At 41.3% G+C, this 25,747-nt stretch overlaps 2 long non-coding RNA genes across 3 annotated transcripts in view, besides 3 other annotated features; one reads left to right on the top strand and one right to left on the bottom strand.

Moving 5' to 3' along the window:
* Positions 16,842 to 17,342: an enhancer, noted in NCBI's record as "H3K27ac hESC enhancer chr3:115502891-115503391 (GRCh37/hg19 assembly coordinates)". NCBI's record gives its function as "activates a minimal SCP1, AML or CMV promoter by ChIP-STARR-seq in naive H9 embryonic stem cells {active_cell/tissue: H9 hESC(naive)}" and the evidence as "EXISTENCE:reporter gene assay evidence [ECO:0000049][PMID:30033119]".
* Positions 17,083 to 17,132: a silencer, noted in NCBI's record as "silent region_14621". NCBI's record gives its function as "represses an Ori minimal core promoter by ATAC-STARR-seq in GM12878 lymphoblastoid cells {active_cell/tissue: GM12878}" and the evidence as "EXISTENCE:reporter gene assay evidence [ECO:0000049][PMID:35858748]".
* Positions 17,374 to 18,052: an enhancer, noted in NCBI's record as "NANOG-H3K4me1 hESC enhancer chr3:115503423-115504101 (GRCh37/hg19 assembly coordinates)". NCBI's record gives its function as "activates a minimal SCP1, AML or CMV promoter by ChIP-STARR-seq in naive H9 embryonic stem cells {active_cell/tissue: H9 hESC(naive)}" and the evidence as "EXISTENCE:reporter gene assay evidence [ECO:0000049][PMID:30033119]".
* LOC124909412 (uncharacterized) lies at positions 21,432 to 25,301 on the bottom strand. Of its 2 annotated transcripts, none has more exons than XR_007096012.1 (2): positions 25,098 to 25,301; positions 21,432 to 21,661 (listed from the first exon to the last, which is right to left on the bottom strand). It is a non-coding gene; the product is annotated as an uncharacterized LOC124909412 (long non-coding RNA). The 2 variants fall into 2 exon arrangements; XR_007096011.1 differs by lacking the exon at positions 25,098 to 25,301 and adding an exon at positions 23,894 to 24,071.
* The window catches only part of LOC124906269 (uncharacterized), a 277,601-nt gene continuing 275,752 nt past the window's right edge, over positions 23,899 to 25,747 (top strand). The window contains exon 1 of the long non-coding RNA XR_007096010.1: positions 23,899 to 23,956. This is a non-coding gene — a long non-coding RNA (uncharacterized LOC124906269). The remainder of the gene's footprint in view (positions 23,957 to 25,747) is intronic.

The following is a 25,747-nucleotide window of genomic DNA, read 5'->3' on the forward strand; positions in this document are numbered from 1 at the left end:
CAGAAAAGTGATTTCTCATCCCACTCTATTCAGCATTAATGGCACAAAATCCCATTAGTGCATTCTAGGGGTTCATTTCAAAACAGACAATGGCCTCTGAATCAGCCTGCCATGCATAATCATCCGGCAATAGGGAAATTACACAATCAAAAATTTATCAAAAGACCACGAAAGGCAGCTATGTGAGGTCATGCCCATTCCTTCTTTAGCAGGGAGGAGGAGACATCACTTTAAGACCAGCAAGATCGATTTTTGTTTCATAACCATAGCTGGATTCACATGATCAGTCCAGAAAAGATAAAACTCTTTTGAAGGAGAAAGTGAAAGGAAGGAGTCTTGTTATTATAATTATTTTATAAATAGGTGAAAATAATTTTATCCCCCTTAGGCATTCTTATGTTCTATATCAACTTTTTTAAAGAAAATTCTCCCACATTCCCTTTTATTATAATTGAAATTCAAGTCCTAGAGGGTTGTCCAGTGTCCTATCTTTAGCCTCTACTCTCTCCTAGCCTCTACTCTCTCCTAACCTTGGGACCTGCTTTCCCAATAGTTTGTCAGACTTTATCACATGGATTTTCTTCAAATCCATGTCTGGCATTAAAATATCGTCATGCTTATCCTTTCAGACACATTTATTGGTACATTTATATAGTTCTTTTTTGGTTTTAACATGCATTCACATGCATTATCTTGATTCCTACAACCAGGGTGTAGCCAATGTTATCAGTGGGATGACTCCCAAATCCTTCTCTCTGTTTTCTATTCTTACTACCATCACCCAGTTTAAAATTTTATTATACTGAACTATGGTCATTGCAGTTTTTATCCTGATCTTTGTGTCTTCAGTCATTCCCTTCTTCAAATTCTCCTGCTGCTAAAGCAATCTTATAATAGCAATGCTTTGTTTAACTCTCTTTTGCCTAAATGGTTTGAATTATTGGCTTAAATGAATGGATTCAATTATTTACTATTTAAAAATTAAAGCCCTTCTGCCTAGCATTTAAAGCCCTCAATAAAAAGGCCTAAATCACCTTTTATAAATCTTCATTTTGTCCATCATTTCCCATCTACACATATACTTCCTTTGGTTAGATCTCCTGAGTCCACTATGCCACATCTCCCTGAGTAGCTGGCCCCATCTATCTGAACACAGCTGATTGGCAGGGATAGACACCTGACCCAGCTGGATTAATCAGATTATCTTCCTAAGGAATTTGGATTTAAGACTCAGCAACTCAGCCCAGTCGATTACCTAATGTTACTGGGCCTGGATGACACTATAGATAAAATTGTATGACTGTCATTTTGCAGCAGCTATTTGTATGCTGAGACCTCAAAGAAAGGAGCACTCTGCAGATAGAAGCAGGTAAATGGGGCCAAAATCCAGAAAAGGGTAAAAATTAGATGCTTGGAAAGAGAGACAAGAGATGGAAAGTAGATGGCTTTGCTCTTGAAGGCATTCCTGCTTTCCATTCTATACAATAATGAAGCTTAGCTGCTGTTCCTGCCCTTTTTTCTCATGGGTTCTAGTTCTTAGAATAAATTCCCGTTAACTTATGGTAGTTTAGGTGAATTTCTATATCTTGCAACCAAACAGTCCCTGGCTAAAAAATATCCCTTCGAGACAGCCAGATCAGCCTTTTGCCAGACCTGAAGTACATCTTGCCATTTCTCACACCATCTGTCAGAAAGGCCCTCTACTTTCATCTGCTCACATCCTTTAGCATTCACTTCAAATGCCACGTTTTTATCCACACTTCCATAATCACCCCTCTCTCATGGATAAAGCAAATTCCAGCAATTCTGCAACCTGAAAGCAACAGGAGAATTTCAGGAATTAACTTCTGATCTACTGGATTTTTAGACAAATGAGAAGAACCAGAGCAACCTTCTGTTTTATTTTAAAAGAAAGAAAAACATCCTCTCTTGTTTACACTTAGGAACAAATCAACTCAACGAATTAAGAGGGGGCATTGAACTAAACCTCTTGTCTCCATCCCTCTTTTGGCCAGGGCCTTGCGTCTACACCTTTGCATCTACACTCTTTACCAAATCCTGATTTTCAAGTTATTTCAGTGATGTAATCGCATGAGTCCATTTTAGTGGCACTAAAGGTCTGGAGGGGAGCACACTTTCCCAGACACAACTTCCCTGGGTGCTCCCTCTCCTCCTGTGTCAAGCATCCCAAATTGGCCACTTCTGACTGCCGGCTCCCACTGAATTTGCGGCCCACCATCACCTCAAGGTCGCTTTCACTATCATTATTGTTCAGTATTCTCCTGCTCATTGAATATGTGGTGCTTTGGATATTTCCCCAGATGATTCAGCTTGCATCGATTCAAGCTAAAACTCATTTCCCTCCTATTTTCACAGATTCTCCTAATCAATTTCATGCTGCAGAACAATTTCATCTTCCCTCCCGTTGTGCATGTTAGAAAAGCCTGCTGAATCATGTGCTGTAAGTATTTAGCTCTGGCTTTGCCTTGACAGCTTTGCAGTTATGTCCTGGTCCAGTTTTGAAGCTGGTTGTTGTAGTAATTTCACCTTCGTCAGAGGCCTCATGAGGATATCTCATTTGATGGTAAATATTATTCTGAGTCCAAGATTCACTAATTTGGAACTTTCTTTTAAAAAATCACTTATACATTTGTTTATTCAAGTTTTCTTTTCGATCTTTCTTTTCCAGATGAAACTTTAATTCTCTAAAACATCATACTAACAATTTCTGGTTGATTTCACCACTTGGTTTGCTGAAAGGATGTTCCCAGACCTCATATACCCTGACCCTTTGACAATCTAGAACTGAAATATTATTTCTCAATTCTTCTCCATGACTTCCTGGACTGGAAACCTATCTTTCTAGGCCCGTCAGATCCTCCTGTTTTTCAAAGCTCCCTTTTCTGCTTCCTTTTGATCATCCTGTTCCTAAACTTCCCATGCTCTCTTATGATCAAACTCTTTCTGAAAAATAGTCATGTAATAAATATATTAGTGGTATCTAATCAGACCATTTTCTCTAGACTTCTAGAAGCCAGATTTCTACTCTATGACATTGCTACCTTGGCCACAGCTAGATAACAAATTCAAGTTCAACCATTCATCCTTTTTTTAAGGTGGGGGAGGATTTGAACAGAGATACAGGGAGTAGCAGCTGGGTGTGGCTTATAATAGTGGTAGAACTTCCTTAAGGAAGGTCTTCAAACTCCTGTGTCTGAGGTCATGTGAGTTTCCATAATATGAGTCCCTACAGGGGCCTAATTACTAACCTTTCTCATAGTCCATGGGATACTCAAGTATCTGTTTATTCATGCAAAATACCCTTAAAAATATAACTTGTAATTTTATGATTACAAATCTTATTTCCCATGCCTCTAAGGACTGTCAAGTGATTCTCAATAAACCATTTTTAAAGGAGCATAAAACTTTATAACGCCAGTTGTAGTCAGACAACCAAAGATTGAATTCTGGCTCGATTACTTACTAGTTCTATGACCCTTATAATAAAATGGAATAATAGTTGTATCTTCTTCCTAGAGTTGTGGTGATAACTAAAGTAATGAATGATGCATGTTATATTATCATTGCATTATAAATATTCAATAAGTGTTAGCTGTATTGATTATTGTTACTATATTAGCATTATTATCTATTCTTTGCTTCTTCTCTTATCACCCCTATCACTGAGTAGAACTCTGTTTGCTATATTCTTCTTCTACTGATAGGGGATGTTCCCGTTGCTTTATAGGCATCAAAGTTCCCTAATATAACTGCTAGAATTTATCCATGATATCATTCTAGTTGACATGTAACTCCATTTGTCTGCAACAAAAATTCTACTATTTTTGCTAAATTCTACTATTAAACCAAGGAGCAAAGTGGCCTTTCTTTTTCAGGTTCTTACAATGATTTGAATTGGTAATACTTTTTTATTTTTCCATTTTATGTGCTTTTTAGTCCATTATACCATGAGTATAATATGAGTAGAGGAGGAAAAACATAAGAAAGTATCAAGGAGGGAAAGAAATTGAATGGTTTAGACAGACATCAGAGAAAAAGGAGAGGGGTCATTCACAGATTAGGCTGATGGTATGGAGACTGTTGCTGATGATGACCATGAGTTCCAGAGGGCCCAGTGAAAGGATTTTAGGTTTCACTTGGAAGGATGGTGTGATGGTTAATTTTATATATCAACTTGGAAGGTGTTTTGGGATGAGATTAACGTTCAAATTGGTGAACCTTGAGTAAAATGAATTGCCTTCTTTAATGTAGGTGGGCCTCACTCAATCAATTGGAAACCTGAATAGAACAAAAAGGCTGGCCTCCGTGAGCCAGAAGGTACCCCCCCGCAGACTCCTTTCTAGACTTCATCTGCACCATTGGCTCTCCTGAGTCTCCAGCCTGCTGGCCCACACTACAGATTTTGGACTTACCAGCCTCCATAATTATTACATTAGCCAGTTAGCTATAATACATTTTTTAAATATATATCTCTCCTGTTGATTCTGTTTTTTTTTTTTTTTTTTTTTTTTTAACTCTGACTGATACAGGTGGAGTTAGGGGAAAGAGGTTGAATGGGTGAGGTGTGTGAAGAGTTTTATGTTGATTAGTGCTCGAGAGGTAAGAGGTGACCTAAGAGAGATGAAGGGCTGATGTGATTAATCTCAGGGATCTCAGGGCTCTATGTTTTGTGGAGTAGGAGAGAACACTGAAGCTCATTCTTCACCCATGATGATGGGCTCAGAGGGCCTTCATGGGTCATGAGATTGATCCCAATTCACAATTCTCATCTTAGCCTTGGATGCAGAGATGGAAGGTTTAAAAAGATGTGATCTTTACTGCTTAGATTTACACTTGAACTTTTGGTGGTAAAGAGGTGATCTTTCTCTAAGTGTACACGCGAAATCATGAACCCTGTTGATGAACTAAAGGAATTTTGGTAAAGCTGGGTGCACTATCAAGAGCATGAGTCTCTTCTCCCTATCTAACAGAGAGTGAAGAGCCAGGAAAGCATGACCTCAGACCCAGTGCACAGCCAGTATTCTAAGTGCTGGGAGGAGAATAAGGTAGGAAAAATTCTGCCCTCACGAAGCTTACATTTTCATGGAGGAAGACAATAAATAAAGCATTAAACAAAAACTAAGAAATTTCAGATAGTACTAAGAACTATCAAGTAAATAAAATAGGCTGATTTGCTAGTCAAAGAGTAGTCAAGGAAGGACTTTTTGAATATAACATTTGATGTAGACCCTTGGGAGATTCAAATATACACCTTCTTTTTGCAGAGAAGTATAATGTTAAGTAGGAGGAAAGGTAATAAAGCTGATAATTAGATATTTCTTGTAAGAAAATCATCTAGAGAAGCCAAATGTATCAGGAGTTTCAGCTGCCTCTTTCCTCAGGAAGCAAATGAGGAATGGGTTCATGGAGCAATTGTGTCCTCTAAACTCCCTAGACTGGCTCAGTAAAAGTGGGAAGAGAAGTCCCTGTTGACTTCCAGCAGAGAGATGGGGTAGCCAAGTGCATCAGAAAGAGAAGAAAGAATATAGGGAACAGCATGGTGAGAGGCCACTGTTTGGATTGGAGTAGGAGGGAGCAATGTTAGAGGCAGCTGTGAGTTTGGAACTTTGGGGAAAGGAAAAATGACTAAATAGAATATTTGAGAAAAATCTTTAAATCGGATGGCAAAGACTAGGATAAGCTCGGTTTGTTCCTGGGTTAGTTTCGGTCTATTCCTATTGGTCCAACAAGATTTTTAAGAGAAATTTCTCATTTTCAAAAACACTGCACTTTGGACAGATTATATGTTTACATTACTGTATAAAACCCCTCAGCTGCCCTCTATGAAAACCCACAGCAAAAATTTACATCATTTTTGAGAGTTTGTAGAGTTAAATTTATGGTCCCTTTGAATGTCACTGTAAGTAAGACAGGACTATTTGGGGCTCTGACTCACGTGGATTATAAAAGCACTTACTGTGACATTTAAAATTGGAATTTGTCCATCTTTATTTGATTTTTATAGAAATAGTTTATGGTCATCCTGCAATGAAGTGAAGGTGAAGGAGGCCTAGGAAATAAATAAACACATTTTTATATGAAATACACATTGGATATATAGGGAAATGTGGAGCACATACTGAAGAAAAGAGTATAGAATCAGGGAGGGAACAAATACAACCTCTGGTTTAACTCTTTATTTCAAATGTACTTATTTAACATCTATTAGGTTGGTGCAAAATTAATTGTGTTTTTTGACATTAGAAGGGGCAAGTTTATTGTATAAAAACTAGAATAAATGCATTTTAGTATAAAAATGGATTTATTTATTTCCTAGGCCTGCTTCATCTTTACTTCATTGCAGGATGATCATAAACTATTTCTATAAAAATCAAATAAAATGGACAATCCGCAATTACTTTTGCACCAACCTAATATTATATGCATAGCACTGTGCTAATCTATATGTATTGTGTGTGCATATGTGTGTGTGATATTCAGGTGGTGTGTGTATGGTATGTTGTGTGTATGTGTTTATATTAAAATGAGGGTTCTAGGGGAAGTGGGGTCTAGCAAGATGAATAAAACATGTCTGTAGTTTACTGGAAGGAGGGAGAGTAGAAACATAGCTATCATCTATTTAACGCCTACTGTGAGTCACTGAGCTTTACGAGGCACTTCACACATATCACTTAATCTCACAAAGCCATAAATATTATATTAATACTCATTTTCTATAAGCAAATTGGCTTTACAAGAATAAGTAACTTGAAGTCAAGTTTCAAGCACAAATCTGAAGTCAGGTGAACATGTTGCCAATACCTGAGAAGTCTGCAATAGAAAGCCAACTACGTGTTAAATGATCCAATAAAGACAAAAAGTATTATGCGAGCATGGAGGAAGGCAGGAAAAACAGAGAAGATAAATAAAAACAGTCAATAAATATTGAGTTTATTAAGTGCCAAGCACTGTCTTAAGGTACTAATATATTTTTATTCATTTAATCCTCATAACCATTCAGTGAGGTAAACCCTATTATTAACCCTGTTTTAAGCATGAGAAAACTGAGACACAGGAGTATAATTTGCCCAAGGTCATACAACTAGCAAGTGGTGAACCAGGATTTAGCTCTAGGCTGACTAGTTCCAGGGGATGTGCTTTACAAAACAAAAACAAAACGAATCCCATATTCCCTTTACTTGGCTTACCTAATGTTAGCATCTTGTATAACCATGGTATACTTATCAAAACCAGGAAATGAACATTGATACAAAATTAGTAGTGAAGGAACGTGTTTTACTAGAATGTCACCAATTTTTATCCTAATGCCTTTTTTTCTGGTCCAGGATAAAATCCAGGATCCCATATTGCATTTAGTTTTTGTGTTTCCTTAGTTTCCTTCAATATGTCACAGATTTTTATTCTTTCCTTTTTTTTCCCCATGAACTTGACACTTTTGAAGAGTATTGGTCAGTTACTTCATAAAATATCTCTCAATTTTGGTGTGTCTGGTGTTGCCTCATAATTAGATGGAGGTTATGCATTTTTTTGGTATGAATACCACAGAAGTGATGGTGTGTCTGCTGTAGACTGAATGTATTCCCCCCAAGTTGATATTGTTGAACCCTAATTTCCAATGTGATGGTATTTACAAGTAGGGTCTTTAGGAAGTGATTAAGTTATGATGATGGAGCTCTTGTGAATGGAATTTGTACTCTTTTCTTTTTTTTTTTTTTCTGGGATGGAGTCTCCCTCTTTCACCCAGGCCGGACTGCAGTGGTGCTATCTCGGCTCACCGCAAACTCTGCCTCCCGGGTTCACGCCTTTCTCCTGCCTCAGCCTCCCGAGTAGCTGGGTCTACAGGCGCCGGCCACCACGCCCGGCTAATTTTTTTGTATTTTTAGTAGAGACAGGGTTTCACCGTGTTAGCCAGGATGATCTCGACCTCCTGACCTCATGATCCGCCCGTGTCGGCCTCCCAAAGTGCTGGGATTACAGGCATGAGCCACCGCGCCCGACCTGGAATTTGTACTCTTATAAAGAGTCCTCAATGAGCTACCTGGCCCTGTCTGCCTTGTGAGGACACAGTGAGAAGCCAGCCATCTATGTACCAGGAAGTGGGCCCGCAATAGAGACTGAATCTGTTAGCACTTTGATCTAGGACTTTCCAGCCTCCAGAGCTGTGAGAAATAAATTTCTGTTGTTTAAGATACCCAGTCTATGCTATTTTCTTATAGCAGTCTAAACAGACTATGACAGTGTCCTTTTCAGGGTATTTTCAGTTGGTTAAGTAGTAGTGCCTGCTAGATATCTCTACTATAAAATTATTTTTTTTGTAATTGATAAATGTCTTGGGAGAATATGCTTTGAGACTGTGCAAATATCCTATTTCTCCTCAATAAGAGATATGCTGTTAACCATCATTCTATACTTCCCCCACTTAGAATAATTTTTTGTTGGGAATCAGGACATGATCATAGAAAAGAAAGAATGTGATCTGTCAATAAATTGAAGGAAAAATATTTTAAAAGTATTAATTCTTCTATGAATTTAGAGTGCCTTCAGAAATATTAGCTTGATCTTTCCCCTAGGCATTGGAAAGAAAAATAAAAGGGCCCTGAGATGAGCAGTTAACAGGGTTTCCTAAACTCACTCAATTCTATTATCAAATGGAGCTTTGTAGACAGACCATATTGATAGAAATAATTTTCTGTTGCCTTCTTTTTATTGCTGAATGCCACTCTGCTTTATAAGAGAATCCCAGACTGATGTTAAAATTCCAGATCAATGTGAGACAAACTATGATAGACTGTCACTAGGTTTTTTGTTTAATTTCTTCCTTGGGTTTATTCTGTAATGACTCTCTCTCTCTTGCTTTCTCTCTCTCTCTCTCTCTCTCTCTCTGTGTGTGTGTGTGTGTGTGTGTGTGTGTGTGTGTGTGTGTGTGTGTGTGTATTGGGTCGTGTCTTTGATAGCTCCCTGATGTAGAAACAAGCAACGCTTTTGAAACCTAGCAATTCTCTGAATTGTTACCTTAGATAGCTTGTCTTATATTAAAAACTAATTAATGTTTGTATGAGTCTGACTTTTCTGATTTTTTTCAAGACTATTATCATAAATAATGTCATAAGTTTTTGCTATCTGTGTTATCAGTATTGGAGATATTTTATTTTGCATCTTCGCTACTCCAGAAAGCATTTAAGATGGGTTCAATGATATATGTCATACAATAGGTAACATAAATTAGAAGCAAATTTTTAAAAAGTTAAATAGTGGGTCAGGACATAAATTAGAATTATAAATGACCCTAATATAAAAATAGATTCCTATTCTATGCTTTCTAGCATTCATTTATATAAATTCTGAAACTATTTCTATGTCAAAATATGAGTTTTTCTCAATAAGAAATAGGTTTATTTCTTAGACTAAAAAGATATTTCTCCTGAGAGGTTTTTTGTTTGTTTGGTTTTTTTTTTTTTTTTTGAGACAGAGTCTTGCTCTGTCGCTCAGGCTGGAGTACAGTGGTGCCATCTCGGCTCACTGCAAACTCCACCTCCTGGGGTCAAGCAATTCTCCTGCCTTGGCCTCCCAAGGAGCTGGGATTACAGGTGCACGCCACCACGCTGGGCTAATTTTTGTATTTTTAGTAGAGACGGGGTTTCCACCATGTTGGCCAGGCTGGTCTTGAACTTCTGACCTCAGGTGATCCACCCGCCTCAGCATCTTGAGAGTTTTTATAAGAAGAATACCACAATATCATGAGCATATTCCTCAACAACATTCATATATTTGAGGCAATGCATTTCATTGCTTCTTAAAGAGTCCCTCAAAACAGAGCTGTTGGTATAACCCTAGATACAATTTAGAAGAAGCTATTCTATGGAAATTGGGAAGAGATTGACAACACAAAACACATCCAGTTTGCAGCTTTCTGTTGGCTTGACTTAATCCAGAGGTGGATTTGTGTAGTATCTAGAGAAATGATGCACTGCAAACTCAGGCTTCACCTGCTCTCTCAGCTGAGCTTTTGATAGATATTGAGTAGCAACAACACTTTAGTCAGGGACATTTTTGGTTGGAGGGAACAGAGACTCATATAAGTTGATGCAAGAAAAAGATGTAGGAATACAGACAGGACTGCCACAATGCAAATATGATAAATAAAGAATAGTTGGGCCCCATAGAAAGTGTATCTGGGAACTGCAAAGAAACAAGGCAGCTTCTTTATCAGTCTCTCTTTCTCTGGGCTTATCTAATCATTTCTAACCTCATCTTTATGCTGCTCTTTTCTTTTTTCTAGGGAGGTATTACCACCATGGCCCAAAGCAGCCACTTGAGCCCTCAGAATTAACAACTCCAGTACTCACAGACAATAAACATCATTCAGTTGAATTGTCCAACCCGAAATTCCCAGGAAAAGAAGCTGGCCCAGCTTTCCTTCTTGACCTGCCATAAGCAGCTGTCCAGTAGTGGAGAGATGGCCTTGAATCTTTTGTCCAAAGACTATGGCTGGAGGTGTGTGAATACTTGGTTCAGATCTCAGGTGTGACCCTTTATCATAAGGGCTGTAAGTGGGCTAGGTTCCAGATGTGACCAGACCATCTCTGCAAATGTGGCATGTTACCAAGGTAGCCACACTTAAGAAAACACAGCCCATTGCTCTGTCACGCAGCACAATTTCTGAACAAGGCAAGGTGGACCTAACTAATGCAGAATGATCTCTTGGAGGGAAGCAGATAGAGATTTATCTGCTGGTTCCTTTCCCTTTTCTATATCTCCTTTGTCAGAATTAGCCCCATAGTGTTACTTACCCTCCACTTTAATTCCTGTTACCTAGGTGCTTGGTGGAGCTGCTAAAAGATAAATTCTATGCTGTGAAGCAGCTTCATTTAAGCCCCAAAGCAATAATAATTGCCATGGTCCTAACTGATAAAAATTTTTATCACAACTCAGTCCCTAGACCATTTTTCCAATCCGGATCCCATATTCATTGTCTAGTTAAGAGAAAGTGCCTAATGTCCAAAGTGAGTTTATGTGAAGTCTTTTCTCCTCTTATCTTTTTGCTGTACTTTCTCCCTGTAAAGTACAGCATGGAATGGGTGATAGGGTGGGTGTCGGGGGAAAGTCATGGATCCACTGTTCCATTCTCATCCCTTTTCCTTGGTCATATCAAAACACAAGACAGTTTACTTGTGTAATTGCTCATTTTTTAACATTTTGCCGGAATTTTTCCACCTAATAAAAATATTTAAAAAACAACTAGATCTATCAGTAATCTCTAAAATAGAGTATGTGCAAGATGATCCAATAGAGTACAAAAAGAAAATATTCAAATTTTTATTCATGTATTTTTACTTCATTCTTTAAAAAGGTTTATTATTTGTGTATGCTTTAAATGATATATAATTTATTAGTACAGAAATGCAGCTACATACTTTATAAATAAATATACATGAGGACATATGCCCAAATTATTTTTTTTCCAGATTGGATGCATGATCAAAAGTTTGGAGCCCACTAGTACTGAGACGTCAATGAATGAGCATTACTCGTTTTATATCTATAGAAAAAATAACAGTTCCCATTGAGGGCTTGTGGCCAATTCTGACTTTAACTTCTTTGGTAGAGCCTGGTCCCATAGTACATTACATTATTCAGCATGTTATGCTTTCAAACCACTTACCCTTTATTTAAATATTTATTTAGTATGAAATACTAGCAGATGGATTGAATTACGGTAATTTATTTATACGTTTAATTTTGAATCAGAAAGTATGAAACAAGTTCATTATCACCACAGGGTGATCAAAGACTGGTGCTTTTGAGTATCAGCATATATGAGTTTAAAGAGTTCCCTGGAATTCTTGTTAAAACAGTGAAGTCTTAAACAGAGAACCAGAAAAGCAGGCATCTGTATCTTGTGATTACTCCATTAGATATATGTACCTCATGACCGGAGATGTGTCATACAGGCCCTCTACATGTAGAACAATTCTTTACTTATCTCGATAATCAATGATTATTGATGTGGGTGAGGCTGGAGGTCAAAGGGGACTCCAGGATGACTCTTTGAGTTGTTAGTAAGGGAATGGAGAGGACAGAGGCTGGCAGGGCATGGGAAGAAGGGAGGAATGCTGATATCTGTGTTGGCACTTGGCATTTTATTCTTACAAAAATTCTGTAAAGTTAGTGCTATGGTCCCCATTAGACAAGTCCCTGCATCTCTCAAAGCCTCAGATTTCTTATCGATAGAAGGTCACATTGCAGGCCGGGCGTGGTGGCTCACGCCTGTAATCCCAGCACTTTGGGAGGTCGAGGTGGGCGGATCACGAGGTCAGGAGTTCGAGACCAGTCTGGTCAACATAGTGAAACCCCATCTCTACTAAAAATACAAAAATTAGCCAGGCATGGTGGTGTGTGCCTGTAGTCCCAGCTACTGGGGAGGTTGGGGCAGGAGAATCGCTTGAACCTGGGAGGCGAAGGTTGCGGTGAGCCAAGATCGCGCCACTGCACTCCAGCCTGGGCAACAGAGTGAGACTCTGTCTCAAAGAAAAAGAAGGTCACATTGTAAGTAAGTGGTAGAGTTGGTTTTTGAATGCATGACTCTCATTCAAAGCCCATGCACTTTCCACTGCGGCATCATTCCTTTCTGATAATGTAGCCCACATGGTGGATGAGTAGATATAATGACAAACTGGCTCTAAAAGTGTATAAATTATCCCTGACTAAACTCTGTAAAATATGTATTGAGACATTTAGCACATATTTTGGGGGCATTTATTATGCGATAGACACTGCGATGTGCTTTTGGTACACAGTAGTAAACAAGAAAAACTCCTTACTCTCAGTCTGGTTGAGAAGACAGCCATACATAATTAAATAATTCCCTAAGTAAGATTTTTTCATAATCCTAATTGGAATGAAAGAAGTAAAACAGGATGATGTAATAAAGATGCTGACGTGCTGTGTATTGTGGATGGTCAGGGAAGGCCTCTCTGAGAAGTTTTATTTCAACTTATTCTTTAATGATGAGAAGGGGCCAGCCTTGCAAAGAACTACTGAACAACAAGCACAAAGACTCTAAGGAAGAAGCGAACTTGCGTGTTTTAGAAAGAACAGCAGTGGGGGCCGGGAGCGGTGGCTCACGCCTGTAATCCCAGCACTTTGGGAGGCCGAGGCAGGAGGATCATGGGGTCAGGAGATTGAGACCATCCTGGCCAACATGATGAAAACCCATCTCTACTAAAAAAAATGCAAAAATTAGCTGGATGTGGTGGCACATGCCTGTAATCCCAGCTACTCGGGAGGCTGAGGCAGGAGAATCACTTGAACCAGGGAGTGGGAGGTTGCAGTGAGCCAAGCGGAGATTGTGCTTGGCTACAGAGGAAGACTTCATCTCAAACAAACAAACAAACAAACAAAAAACAAAAACCAAAACAAAACGAGAAAACAAGAACAGCAGTGGGAATGGAGCACAGTAGAAACAGAAGTGAAGTGAGAGAAAAGTCAGAGACAAGGCCTTGAGTACTAGGCAGATTTTTTTAATCGGGAAGCATATTTGTTTACATTTCAAGGTGTGATAAGAACCAGGACCATGGAGACATCTCCAGGTTGCAAGGCTAGACATGGGGGGACAGCTGTCCCTCTTTTTCCTACATAAATGCCCAGATTCATGTAGTCAGGCCCTTTGTCTGCAGTAAACTCCCTCACATGTATCATGACATTCAGTTTTCACTATATTGCCCTGGGGGTAAGAACTGGGGCAAAGGGTAGCTGGTATGTCCTGTGTATAAGCAAATAATAATATGGTCTGCTCTAGAACCCATATGTTGGCATCCAGCATAATACTATCAAATACAGATATTATGCGCTTAATACATAGTATGATTCCTCTTTTTACACTAGCATGCTGGCTGCTGTTCAGATAATGGATAAGAAGGAGAAAAATGAAAGCGGGAAATCGGTTAAAAAGCTGTAACAGTAGATCAGGTTTGTGTTATGGTGGTGGCAGTAGAAGTGAAAATATTCAAGATCTATTTTGGTGATAGAGTTGACTAAGTTAGCAGATAGAATGAGGGGAAGAGAAATCAAGGTTGATGCCCAGATTTTTTGCTTGAGAAACCGGGTGGATGCAGGGTCGGTTTCAGAGAGGGAGAAGCCTGAAAGAGGGGCAGGTGGTGAGGGGCAGAGTTAAAAGTGCAGTTTTCAGTGTGGTGATAAACATCATCCAGCATCATTGTTGGTGGCTGGCCTTTTCTGTGTTTGCCATTTATGCCAGAGAGATAATAGGTAGTTTTCCTTCATGTTTATTTTTTCTTTTTATGATCTGAAGCTACAGTTCTGTCTCATAGGGCCCTACTGAGTTCCCCTTGTCTTAAATCCTATTAAAATGCCTGGCCTATGTGACTCCACCCAAATTAATCTGTGATATCCTCTGGAGTCCATCCTCTCAAATCACCTTGAGTACTTTTCCTTCTTGCTGTTCATTCTCCACTGAATTCCCATGCCCCCAGATTAAGAAAGTAATCTGATAAATAACTAAAAAATATATTATTTGCGCCCATATATTTATGATTTATTTTTGAATATTCAAAATACCCTGCTTTAGCCCAAGTTTCGCAGTGATTTTTATGCTGCGATCTTAAAGATTCCTTTATTATGGCTTTATGTGTGTCTGTTTTGCTTAACCGGAACCACATTTCCAAGAACTCCTTTTGTTTCCGGGTCAGGACTGGCCACAAGGAAAAAATGAACAAGATCTGGAAGGCAGAAAAGAAGCACCAACTATCTTTATGATTTGAAGGTGGGTGTGAAACCAGGCTCACCTAAGTTGTCACTGATCTGCTGGTTCACCCTGTTGGCATGGGCTCCTTCAAGTCCTGCTAGATACCCCTGCTTCTGCTTCTCTGAATCCCTGGCTAGGTATGTGTATGTTTCCTTGGTGAAAAGCGTCAGTTTATGCTGCAAGTCATTTACATGGAGGCCATGAGAAACAACTATGAGTTTCATTTTTTCTTTGCTGTATCCATTTCGTATGCATCTTTCCTTCTTGATCGTCAGCCCTGCAGACTTCACGCCCAAGAGTAGATGCAGAGGCCTTAGACTACTTAACACATTCTCATAATTGCATAGAATCTAAACCCTATAATAAATCCCTGGTTTTATATCACTCACAATGGTTCTACTTCCCTAATAGAACTATAACTGATACATATGCAATGTAGTATCGCATAGCTAGAGTTTCCATACAGTATAAAAGAATATTAGTTTATTTTTCACTATGATTTTGATTTACATTTTTATCACATCATATCTCTTTTACCTCTATAGCAGGCTCAAAACTTGCTATAGATTGAAATGCTTACAAAAGAGTAGTTCTATCATTCTTTAGTATTTCTCAGACTATTACTGTGTCTGATTACTAAGGAACAAAAATGTTTATTTTTATAATTAAGTACATATACATTAATTTTGTTGTACATTTTTTTGCTTTCAACATCAAATTCTGTTTATGCATGCACGTGTAGCAGAAATTGTTGTGCCTTGTATGAATGTTTTTATAGTCCTTAAAAATAATGGATGCAATATCTGTGGTAGCCTGACAGTTTAAATAATGTTCCATTGCTCATTTTATTCAACAGATTTCCATTCAGCAGTTCTTAGCGGTATCTACAATATGTCCAGATCAGTGAATTTCTATGAGGGATTCAAAAGAAATATAAGACACAATTCCTTCTCTCGTGAAACTTATGGTCTAATATTTACTTTTATAAATAAAGGAGAGATTGAGAGACAGATTGTGTGAGAGAGTGAGTGTGTGTGTGTGTGTGTGTGTGTGTTAGGGAAGAAAGGGTTGACTTGTAGCCCTCCCCCAGGGGTGCAGCTTCAAGTAATAACAGTCCGTATTAGGGCAAGGTGGGTACTGTGGCAAACTGGAGAGCCACTTGCCCCTTCTAATGGCAGTAACAGCTCCTCAACTCCCACCAATGGGGTTACCATTTAGGTCAAGTCTCTAGATGTTCTCTTGTTCAAGGGATGCTGTAAATTGGGACAGTTACATGAAAATTCCCACTTAAAAAATATGCACGGAGCGGGCACGGTGACTCACACCTGTAATCCCAGCACTTTGGGAAGCCGAGGCAGGCGGATCACCTGAGGTCAGGAGTTCGAGACTAGCCTGGTCAACATGGTGAAACTCCGTCTCTACTAAAAATACAAAAATTTCCCGGGCGTGGTGGCGCACGCCTGTAGTACCAGCTACTCAGGAGGCTGAGGCAGCAGAATCGCTTGAACCTGGGAAGCAGAGGTTGCAGTGAGCCTAGATTGCGCCATTGCACTCCAGCCTGGGCAACAAGAGCGAAACGCCGTCTCAAAAGAAAACAAAAAAAATGCACGGAGGGAAAACAGCCCGGAGGCTGAATCCTGTCCAACAGTAGTTATAACCCTAGTTTTTCCAACACGAGTAAATATAAAGGCATCTTGCTCCTCTGGAAATAGGGAGAACCAGACCTAGCTATCTTCTTGAAAAAGAAAAAAAAATACTTCTGCATCCTCTCAACTTAAAACGAAGGAAATAAGATAGTTATCAATCAGCATCATTTGGGCATATTGTTATTATTTACTATCATTTTATTAAAATTAATAATAGATTTACTGTAAAAACAGAGCCTGCCTTGCGCGTAGCACTCGATAAACGCTTTTTATTATTCTGCTTGTTGACGCTGTTACCTCTCTTTTGGAGTAAAAGGGGGCGGAATCGCAACAAGACCCCAGGACCCCGTGTGCGCGCGCGTGTCGGGGGAGCTGACCTATGACAAACATGTGCAGAGCTCTAGTACCCAGCCACGCGGAGGCTGCCGGTTGACAGAAGCGTTGCCGCCCCCTGCCGCCGAGTTCACCCTGCCGTCACTGCTGGAAGCCGCACCCCTAGGAAAGGCTGCAAACCCACCCTGCCCCCAACACACCCGCGCTCCCTCTCTGCAGGCCGGCTCCATCCCCGCCCCCAGGTGGCCAAGCAACACCGCCTTCTAGCTTCCTCCCGACCGGGCGGCGCCTGCAGCTGCCTGGGGAAGGAGCCCCGCAGCAGCGCGAGCGGGTGGGCGGGGGGTGCGCGGGCCGCAGGGCAGGAGGGAGGGCGCAGGTAGGCGGGCGGGGAGAAGCTAGGCGGCCGGGCCGAGCGGTCGCGCCCAGCCCTGCCTCTCTCCCTTCTCGACTCACAGGCGGCCTGACTCACTCCTTTGTTTCTGGAAAAGATCTATCTGTACTAGCCCGAGGCGGAATTCACCCCGCCCGCACTCATCAGAAATCGTTTGCTTATTCTCTGCGCCCCTCCGTGCTCGCCTGGGACGCGGGCGGAATCCTGACGCAGGCTGTCAGCCGCGGTGACGGGTGACACCGGGTGAGCAGCCGTCCGCGCCGCCTTCCCTGCGCCGACGGGCAGCGCGGCGTTCGGCGCGCACTGCTGCCCCCTCGTGGCAGGAGCAAGCATCGCAGCAGCGCCGACACCACCGCCCACCTGCAGCCCGGGGAGCGTCACTTCTGGGTGTTTTTCAAAGGGAGCATTTTTACAGCTCCATTCAACTGCTGGGATTAGGAGATGTGGCTCCCAGGTTGATTACTAATGAATGAGAAGGGGTGTGGTCTGTGCGTGTATGTTCTTGTGTGCGTGTACGCGTGTGAGAGAGAGAGAGGGAAGGGGGGAGAACAACTGTAAGAGCATGTTTGTGGTGACAGGATAATGGAGAAGGGAGGAAGGAAGGGGAAAAATGAAAGAGATTAAAAAGCAAGAGAGGCAAAGTGACAGTGACGAGGGAAGAGAGTGACAGGGAAGGATGCAGAAAGAATGCAGGGAGCAACAGTTTGATGGGAAATGGGAGGGGACTTCTGCATGAGAGAGAGGTGAGGATTTGACATCCGTGAGAGGTAAAGTTTCATTTTGGTGAAGTGAACCTTGTGAACATTTCAATATACCTCTCTCCTGCTTTACGTCCCATTTTGTTTGGCAGCTGCTAGAAATGAGTTTCCGTTTTTCTGTCTTGTTTTAATATTCTCATGTCTCCCACATCACTGAGATCATTAGAGGCAGAAACAATTATGTCATGCATTCCCTGCATCTGACAGAACCCTCTGTGCGTGCTGGTTTATTAACTCCAGCCTTGCCCCTCTGCCATCAGCTACATCTGCTTTTGTTATTCTGATCCACGTTTCATGAGCATGCACACACACACTCTCTCCCTCTCTCCACTGACCTCTGTGGGCTCACTTGTCCTTTGGGAAATAGACCAGTAGCTGCTCAGAATCCAAATGTACGTGACAAACACTCTTGAAAAGGCTTCTGCCACCTACTCATCAACAAACAAGCAAAACAAAGCCCCAACAGCCACAAATAGCCACAAAAAAAGGTTCTTCTGGATCACATCTGTAACTCTTGACCTAATCCTTTCATTTTCCCTAGAAGAACAAAAGAAAGAGAGAGTTTTTGCAGGATCTGTGTTAGGCTATAGCTTGTTATGGTGGCAAAAAGGTTAAAAGGGATTTTCTATACCCCATTCTTGGTTACTATTTTGCCAACATTACCCCCCACACAAGTATGTGTGTGGGGGGCCACATTTAGAAAGTCTGGACAGGATGATAAAAATTGTTTTGGCAGAAGATAAATCATTGCATATGGGCGTGGGCAGTAATGCCCAAACTCATTTACCGTAACAAATGGTTTCATGAAAATATTTTGGTCAGTACAGCTTATTTTGGCATACTGAGAGGTGGTTGCCTATCTGTGTGATTGCATAGAGAGGATGGACATCTTGTGGGTCAGCATTGCTTAATTCATTCAGAGGGAGCTCTGAGGAGAGTGGCCATCCTTCGTGTTTGACCTTCATACTGAGGCGTGCCCAGGGATTATTGAGGATAGGAATTCAGTTTGGAGATAAACCATTCTTTCATAATTTTAGTAAATGGATTATGATGCACATAAACAACAAGAAGAGAAAAATGCTTTGGGACTTCCAAATACAAAACCTTTCTCTGACATGGTTATGTGAGAGGGGGAGAGTTATAATATTTTTGCCGCAATCAGTTGTTCTGAAGTTCAACAGAGATAATATAAGTGAACATGCTTTGCAAACTCAGAGGATGCTCCCTGAAGCAAAGGCAAAACAATGCCATAGAGACAAAGGATGTTTGCCACAAGTGTTTCAGAACCAATTGACTATGTTATCTCCAAATCATTAAATAATTGTTTAATTATCCTCTTAATATGCGAACATTTACATTTCACTTCCCTAGTTTCCTTTTTATTCCTCCATGATATGTCTTTCTGCTTGAATCTGTTTAGTGCCTTTGCTTAGGATCCTCCATCAGGGTTTCAGCCAAGGAAGCCCTACTCTTAGTTGGGGTTCATTGAAGCTGTGGCCAAGTTGAGTCTACGGTAGCAGTCAATGAGTGCTTCTCAGTTCTCTGCTCTCCTGCTCAGATCTATGCTCCGCTGCTGTGCCCTAAAGGGAGCTCATCACAAAGAACTTATATGTATCTGTGAATCTAGGTCTTTATGGGATGGGGATGTGAACTGCATTTTCTATTGATAGTAGAAATGCAGTGATTTTATATATATATAATATATATATCACACACATATATGTATACTGTGTATATATGCACACACATATCCATATATGTATATAAAATCTCACAGTATGTATATTCTCCCACCCTGACACACATCTACCAATGTTTCTTACCCCTACACACAAAATTTATCACTTTATAAGACTCAGTGGTTTGCGTTCATATTTGGAGTGAGAGTAGAATACATGTCTCCATAGTAACTGTCACCGTAGGGCTGAAAAGTGAGAACATTTAACAAAACCTCACATAGAGCGGTGAACTTGCTCTTTGAATTAGTTTGCTTGGGCTACCAAAACAAAATACCACAGTGCAGCTGGCTTAAACAACAGAAATGTATTTCTCACAGTCCTGCCTGGAGGCTGGAAGTCTAAGATTAAGATGTCAGCAGGTTCATTTTCTCCTGAGGCCTCTCTCCCTGGCTTGCAGATGGCCACCTTTTCGTGGTGTCCTCACATGGCCTTTCCCTTGTGCATGCACATTCCTATGTCTCTTCTTCTCATAAGGACACCAAACAGAGTGGATTAGGAACCACTCTCAATTGATTCATTTAACCTTAATTCCCTCTTTAAAGGTCCTATCTCCAAATAATAGTCATAGATTTTCTAAGGCACTAGGGGTTAGGGTTTTGACATAGAAATCTGGTAGAACATAAATTAGTCCCTAAGATTCTCCAAGCATATTCTCATGGGCTACTGAGAGTAGTCTTCCAGGTTCCACAGGGATAGAGAAGTCTATATCAGAAACAACACTCATATTAGACCCAGAAGTCCCAGAGATTGGGTGCTGGAGTCCTATTATTCAGCTGGCTGTGTGATCTTGAGTCAGAAAGTTAATTTTCTGAGTCTCAATTGGCCTTGCCTGTGAAACACGAGCTGTTAGTGTTTTGCCATGATTATTAATTATGATTACATGTAATTGTTAGTATTCGGTTGCCTAAGATAGCTGTATGAAGAAGTTCTGTGAAATGATATGTACTGCTTCGTTGCATAGCATTTTTATAATCTTCTGACTGGCAACTTTTCTTAGTGTTTGGGAGCTAATGTAGTGTTTAAGAGCAATGTCTGTAAAGGCAGACAGATCTGAGTTTGAATTTCAGTCCATTTACTTCTTGTCTTAGCCAATTTTGTTAATGAACAGACATTTTTTGGCTTATGGTTGTGAAGGCTGGGAAGTCCAAGACTGAGGAGCTGCACCTGGCAAGGGCCTTCTTGCTGCATCATCCTCCTTTTATAACCAACCCTCTCCATGAAAACTGCACTAATCCATTCACCCTCATGACCTAATCACTTCTCATTAGGCCCCACCTCCCAACACTGTTACTTTGGGGATTAAGTTTCCAACACGTGCCTTTGGGGGAATAGATTCGAACCATAGCACTTCCTAGAGTAATTAATTTTAAAAGATCCATTTTCTTTTATGTAAAATAGGACTAATAATATAAACAACAAACAGAATTCATATGAAGATTAAGGAAAATAATACATATAAAATGAGAGGGCTTGGGCCCTGCACGGTGGCTCACACCTGTAATCTCAGCACTTTGGGAGGCCAAGGCAGGTGGATCACCTGAGGTCAGGAGTTCGAGACCAGCCTGACCAACATGGCAAAACACCGTCTGTACTAAAAATACAAAATTAGCCAGGCGTGGTGGCACATGCCTGTAATCCCAGCTGCTCGGGAGGCTGTGGCAGGAGAATTGCTTGAATCAGGGAGGTGGAGATTGCAGAGAGCTGAGATCATGCCATTGCACTCCAGCATGGGTGACAGAGCGAAACTCCATAAAAAAAAAAAATGTAAGGGCTTGAAAATAGTTTATCATCATCATTAATTTATTTCTGTAAACTCTTCCCCTTTCCTCTTTCCTCTTAGCATAATTGAACTTCCACATGGAGGTCTGTTCTACTCCTGATTCGAGTTTTGTAAATAATCTTTGTGGTATTCTTTTGTGCCAATGACAGCAGTTTATTCTTCAGTTGATCTTTTTGCCTCTTCTTCTTTTCCCCCAGCCAGCTTTCAATGGTTATAGAGCTTTAGCCTTCTGTGAAGATAGAAAAAGCATTCATATACTTTCCTTTGCAGATCTATCATCTCCTTTCCATTAAAGCAATCCCTTGATATACCACATACTCGAGTCTTAGTCATTTCTTTCAATATGCAATGCTGACTTGTTGGCATAATTTCATCTCACTTACACATTTTCAAACACATTCTTCTCAACCTGAAGTCTGAGTAAGCTGGTAGCAATGAAGACAAAAACAGTATTCACCTTCAATCACCATAGTGTCCCAGCCCCTAGCTCAGTGCCAGCCAAATAATAAGAACCCACAAATATTTGGGTAATGAATGAGTAAATGGGCTGTGTGTTGACAAGAGAGTAGCTGAAACGCTAAACTCATTTGTTTTTTAGTGACAGTTACTAAGTGGGGAGAATTCCAGGGGGAATAATGATGGAGGACAGTGTGGAGTCTAAAGCCAATGTGTGTGTGTGTGTGTGTGCGTGTTTGCGTGCATGTGTGTGTGAGAGAGAGAGAGAGATGTTCAGAGATTAGCAGGAAGTACAGTTCAGAATCAAATAGCTTAAAGGAAAAGGAGGGATTGGGACATCACCCATGGTAAAGGGTTCTGAGAAGCTACCCTATTGATTCATAGAGGGTGTTCAGAGTCCCGTGTTTTAGTGACCCCAGTTCCACCTAGACCCAGCTCCAGGCATAATATGTTTGACAAAATGGCAGGACAGTGAAAGGGTCATTAAAGTACTTTATTTGTATCATGAAAAGATTGACTTATAAATCTTCATTAAATATTTGCCTTCCTAGCCAGACATAAGCTCCATAAAGACAGGCGCTGGCCCTCAGGGAGCAAGTGAACTGGCATGGTGCCTGGCGCCCAGCAGTTCCTTCATGAAGATTTCAGAATGACCAAGTGAGTTGAATGCACAGCCCAGGCATCTGTGTTTTCACACCTCTCCAGGGTCTGTTCCATTATTCACGTAGAAAAACCTGTTAACTATTGTGAAGCAGCCTTGTATCTGTAGCTGCCACACACTTCTCAATGACCTTCCCTTTCCAAGTTGAGTTTTGCACCATGTCAACAAGTGGCAGCTTTCTAGCATCAAATTGTTTGTCCAGGGTTATCAGCATTACTTTCTTTTCTTGTCCTCACTACAATACACATGCCCATCTCAAATCAGTTCCATTGTTACTTAGGTAATAGTATTGTAGGGTGTCTTTACTTCAGAAAGAATGATATATTTAGCAAATGTTACAGATATAGGAGGTTTTAAGTGGGACTAAATGCAGCAATTAATGCTAATGAGTCTGCTGTTAGCATGTAATATTCTTGGTGTTATAATCATGCATCACTGAATGCGAAGCCTCAGTTTGTGCAACAGATGCCGATCTTAATGGCTATATTCTCTTCCCATGGATAAGCTAGCTTTAGTTAAATGAATCATTAAGAATAACCATTTAAAATGTTAATGAAAACAGTGATTATAACCACCAAGATTTTTTTTTTAACTTCTGGCTCTATTACTTTTTATTTTCGAAAGGACTTTGGGAAGGTAAGAAACTTATTGCCTGTGTATGTTGTTTTAAACAGAGAAGGCCGATACAGTTTCTGTTCACAGCAGCCCTGAGGCCGCATGCCTGTATTATTAACACCAACCGTACTTGGAGACTAACTCTCTTTTGTTCTCATTTGTCATTTCTTTTAAATATTCATTTAGGGTATAAGACAGAATTGGGTAAGTAGGATCCTTGACAGTCCAACTAGTTGGTAAACAAATATTTTGTCTTCCTGAAAGTATCATTATACTATCGCAAATTAAGACTGAAAAGGAAAAAAATACCAGGATGTTGATATTTAAGAATAAATACTTTATCTTTTCAGAACAACAATAAGAAGGCTGGTTTAGGCTTTATCGCTGGAAAATGGAGTTTGTGAAACAAAGAAGTAATAGATGCATAGCAAGAGCTCAGTGTCCTTCCACATTGTGTCACCGGTTGTACCCTGAGACAGATTCTCCAAGTCTTAGAACATGGATATGCAGTGAGAGTGAGGTTTACGTAGAAAAGTCTTTGTGTCTTGGGAGTGCCATGTGTATTGAATGTCTATGACTCATGTCTCCCCTTGACTCACTTCTTGGCTGGGCTACATGACTCATCAGGCCTGGTAGGTTCAGGGCAGTGTAGCTGGTGGGGAAGGGCTAAGTGAAGAGGGGCTGTCTAGACCTGGGGAGCATGGTTATAATGAGCTTTTTCAAACGTACAACTCAACTCTCTTGCACCTAGGAAGTATCTTCATCCAGAAGGAGTTCTCAGTCCTTTTTCTGGTGAGTTGTCTTGATTCTGGAAAATATGTTTGTTTTTCTTTGAGAATTGGCCCAAATATTAATATATCTGGGTAAATCAATGCTGCTTGAAGGCTCTGTAATCTCATGATTGTTAATATAGAGCCTGGGGTTTATATATTAAGAATAGTAAGTGCAGGTTGAGTTAATTGTCTAAGAGACAGAAAATAGGAATGTTCATAGTCCAAGGACTTAAAGTCCAAGTGAGAGGTGACAGCGTGCTGTCAGTCCTCACAGCCCTCGCTCGCTCTCTGCTCCTCCTCTGCCCGGGCTCCCACTTTGGCAGCACTTGTGGAGCCCTTCAGCCCATGCTGCACTGTGGGAGCCCCTTTCTGGGCTGGCCAAGGCCGGAGCCGGCTCCCTCTGCTTGCAGGGAGGTGTGGAGGGAGAGGCGCGAGCTGGAACCCCGGCTGCGCCCGGCGCTTGCGGGCCAGCTGGAGTTCCGGGTGGGCGTGGGCTTGGCGGACCCCGCACTCGGAGCAGCCGGCCGGCCCTGCCAGCCCCGGGAAATGAGGGGCTTAGCACCCGGGCCAGCAGTTGCGGAGGGTGTACTGGGTCCCCCAGCAGTGCCAGCCCACCGGCGCTGCGCTCGATTTCTCGCCGGGCCTTAGCTGCCTTCCCGCGGGGCAGGTCTCTGGACCTGCAGCCCGCCATGCCTGAGCCTCCCACCCCCTCCGTGGGCTCCTGTGCGTCCCGAGCCTCCCCGATGAGCGCCGCCCCCTGCTCCAAGGTGCCCCAGTCCCATCTTTTTGCTTTTATGAGCTGTAACACCGCGAAGGTCTGCAGCTTCACTGCTGAAGCCAGCGAGACCACGAGCCCACCGGGAGGAACGAACAACTCCAGACGCGCCACCTTAAGAGCTGTAACACTCACTCGAAGGTCTGCAACACTCACTCGAAGGTCTGCAGCTTCACTCCCGAAGCCAGCGAGACCACGAGCCCACCGGGAGGAAGGAACAACTCCAGACGCGCCGCCTTAAGAGCTGTAACACTCACCGCGAAGGTCTGCAGCTTCACTCCTGAGCCAGCGAGACCACGAACCCACCAGAAAGAAACTCAGAACACATCCGAACATCAGAAGAAACAAACTCCAGACGCACCACCTTAAGAGCTGTAACACTCACCCGTGAGTGTCCCAGGCTTCATTCTTGAAGTCAGTGAGACCAAGAACCCACCAATTCCGGACACACAAGGGTTAATACAATAAAGATTTCTGAATGAGGTCTGTGGTTGCAGCAGCTGAGGTAGTGCTATAGCACTTATTTTTCAGTGACAATTGCCTGGAAGCTTCTGATGACTCTTACTTAGGGCTGCCCAGGGTTGGAACTGCACTATTTCTCTTAACCTGACCTGCATCCTCTCCCACTTCCTGAGTTTCTGATCAAAGTCCATCTCTGATGTTTGTTCTGACTAGTAGAAACATCTCTTTTGGGCAGGCAGAAACTGAGACAGAGGTTTTTTGTTTGTCTGTTTTTGAAATAGGGGGTCTTTGCTGTAAGATTAATTCCTAATTTGACCTAGGAAACCAGGCAGGGGCAGGGTGAGCAGGTAAAACGATAAAGATAGTAAGTAAAGATAACAAGGCTAAGTCAAATTTGTATACTTCCTGTGATGGTTAATACTGAGTGTCAACTTGATTGGATTGAAAGATACAGAATATTGATCTGGGTGTGTCTGTGAGGGTGTTGCCAAAGGAGATTAACATGTGAGTCAGTGGGCTGGGAAAGGCAGACCCACCCTTTATCTGAGTGGGCACAATCTAATCAGCTACCAG

Source organism: Homo sapiens, chromosome 3, assembly GCF_000001405.40.
Source record: "Homo sapiens chromosome 3, GRCh38.p14 Primary Assembly".
Lineage (NCBI taxonomy): Eukaryota > Metazoa > Chordata > Mammalia > Primates > Hominidae > Homo > Homo sapiens.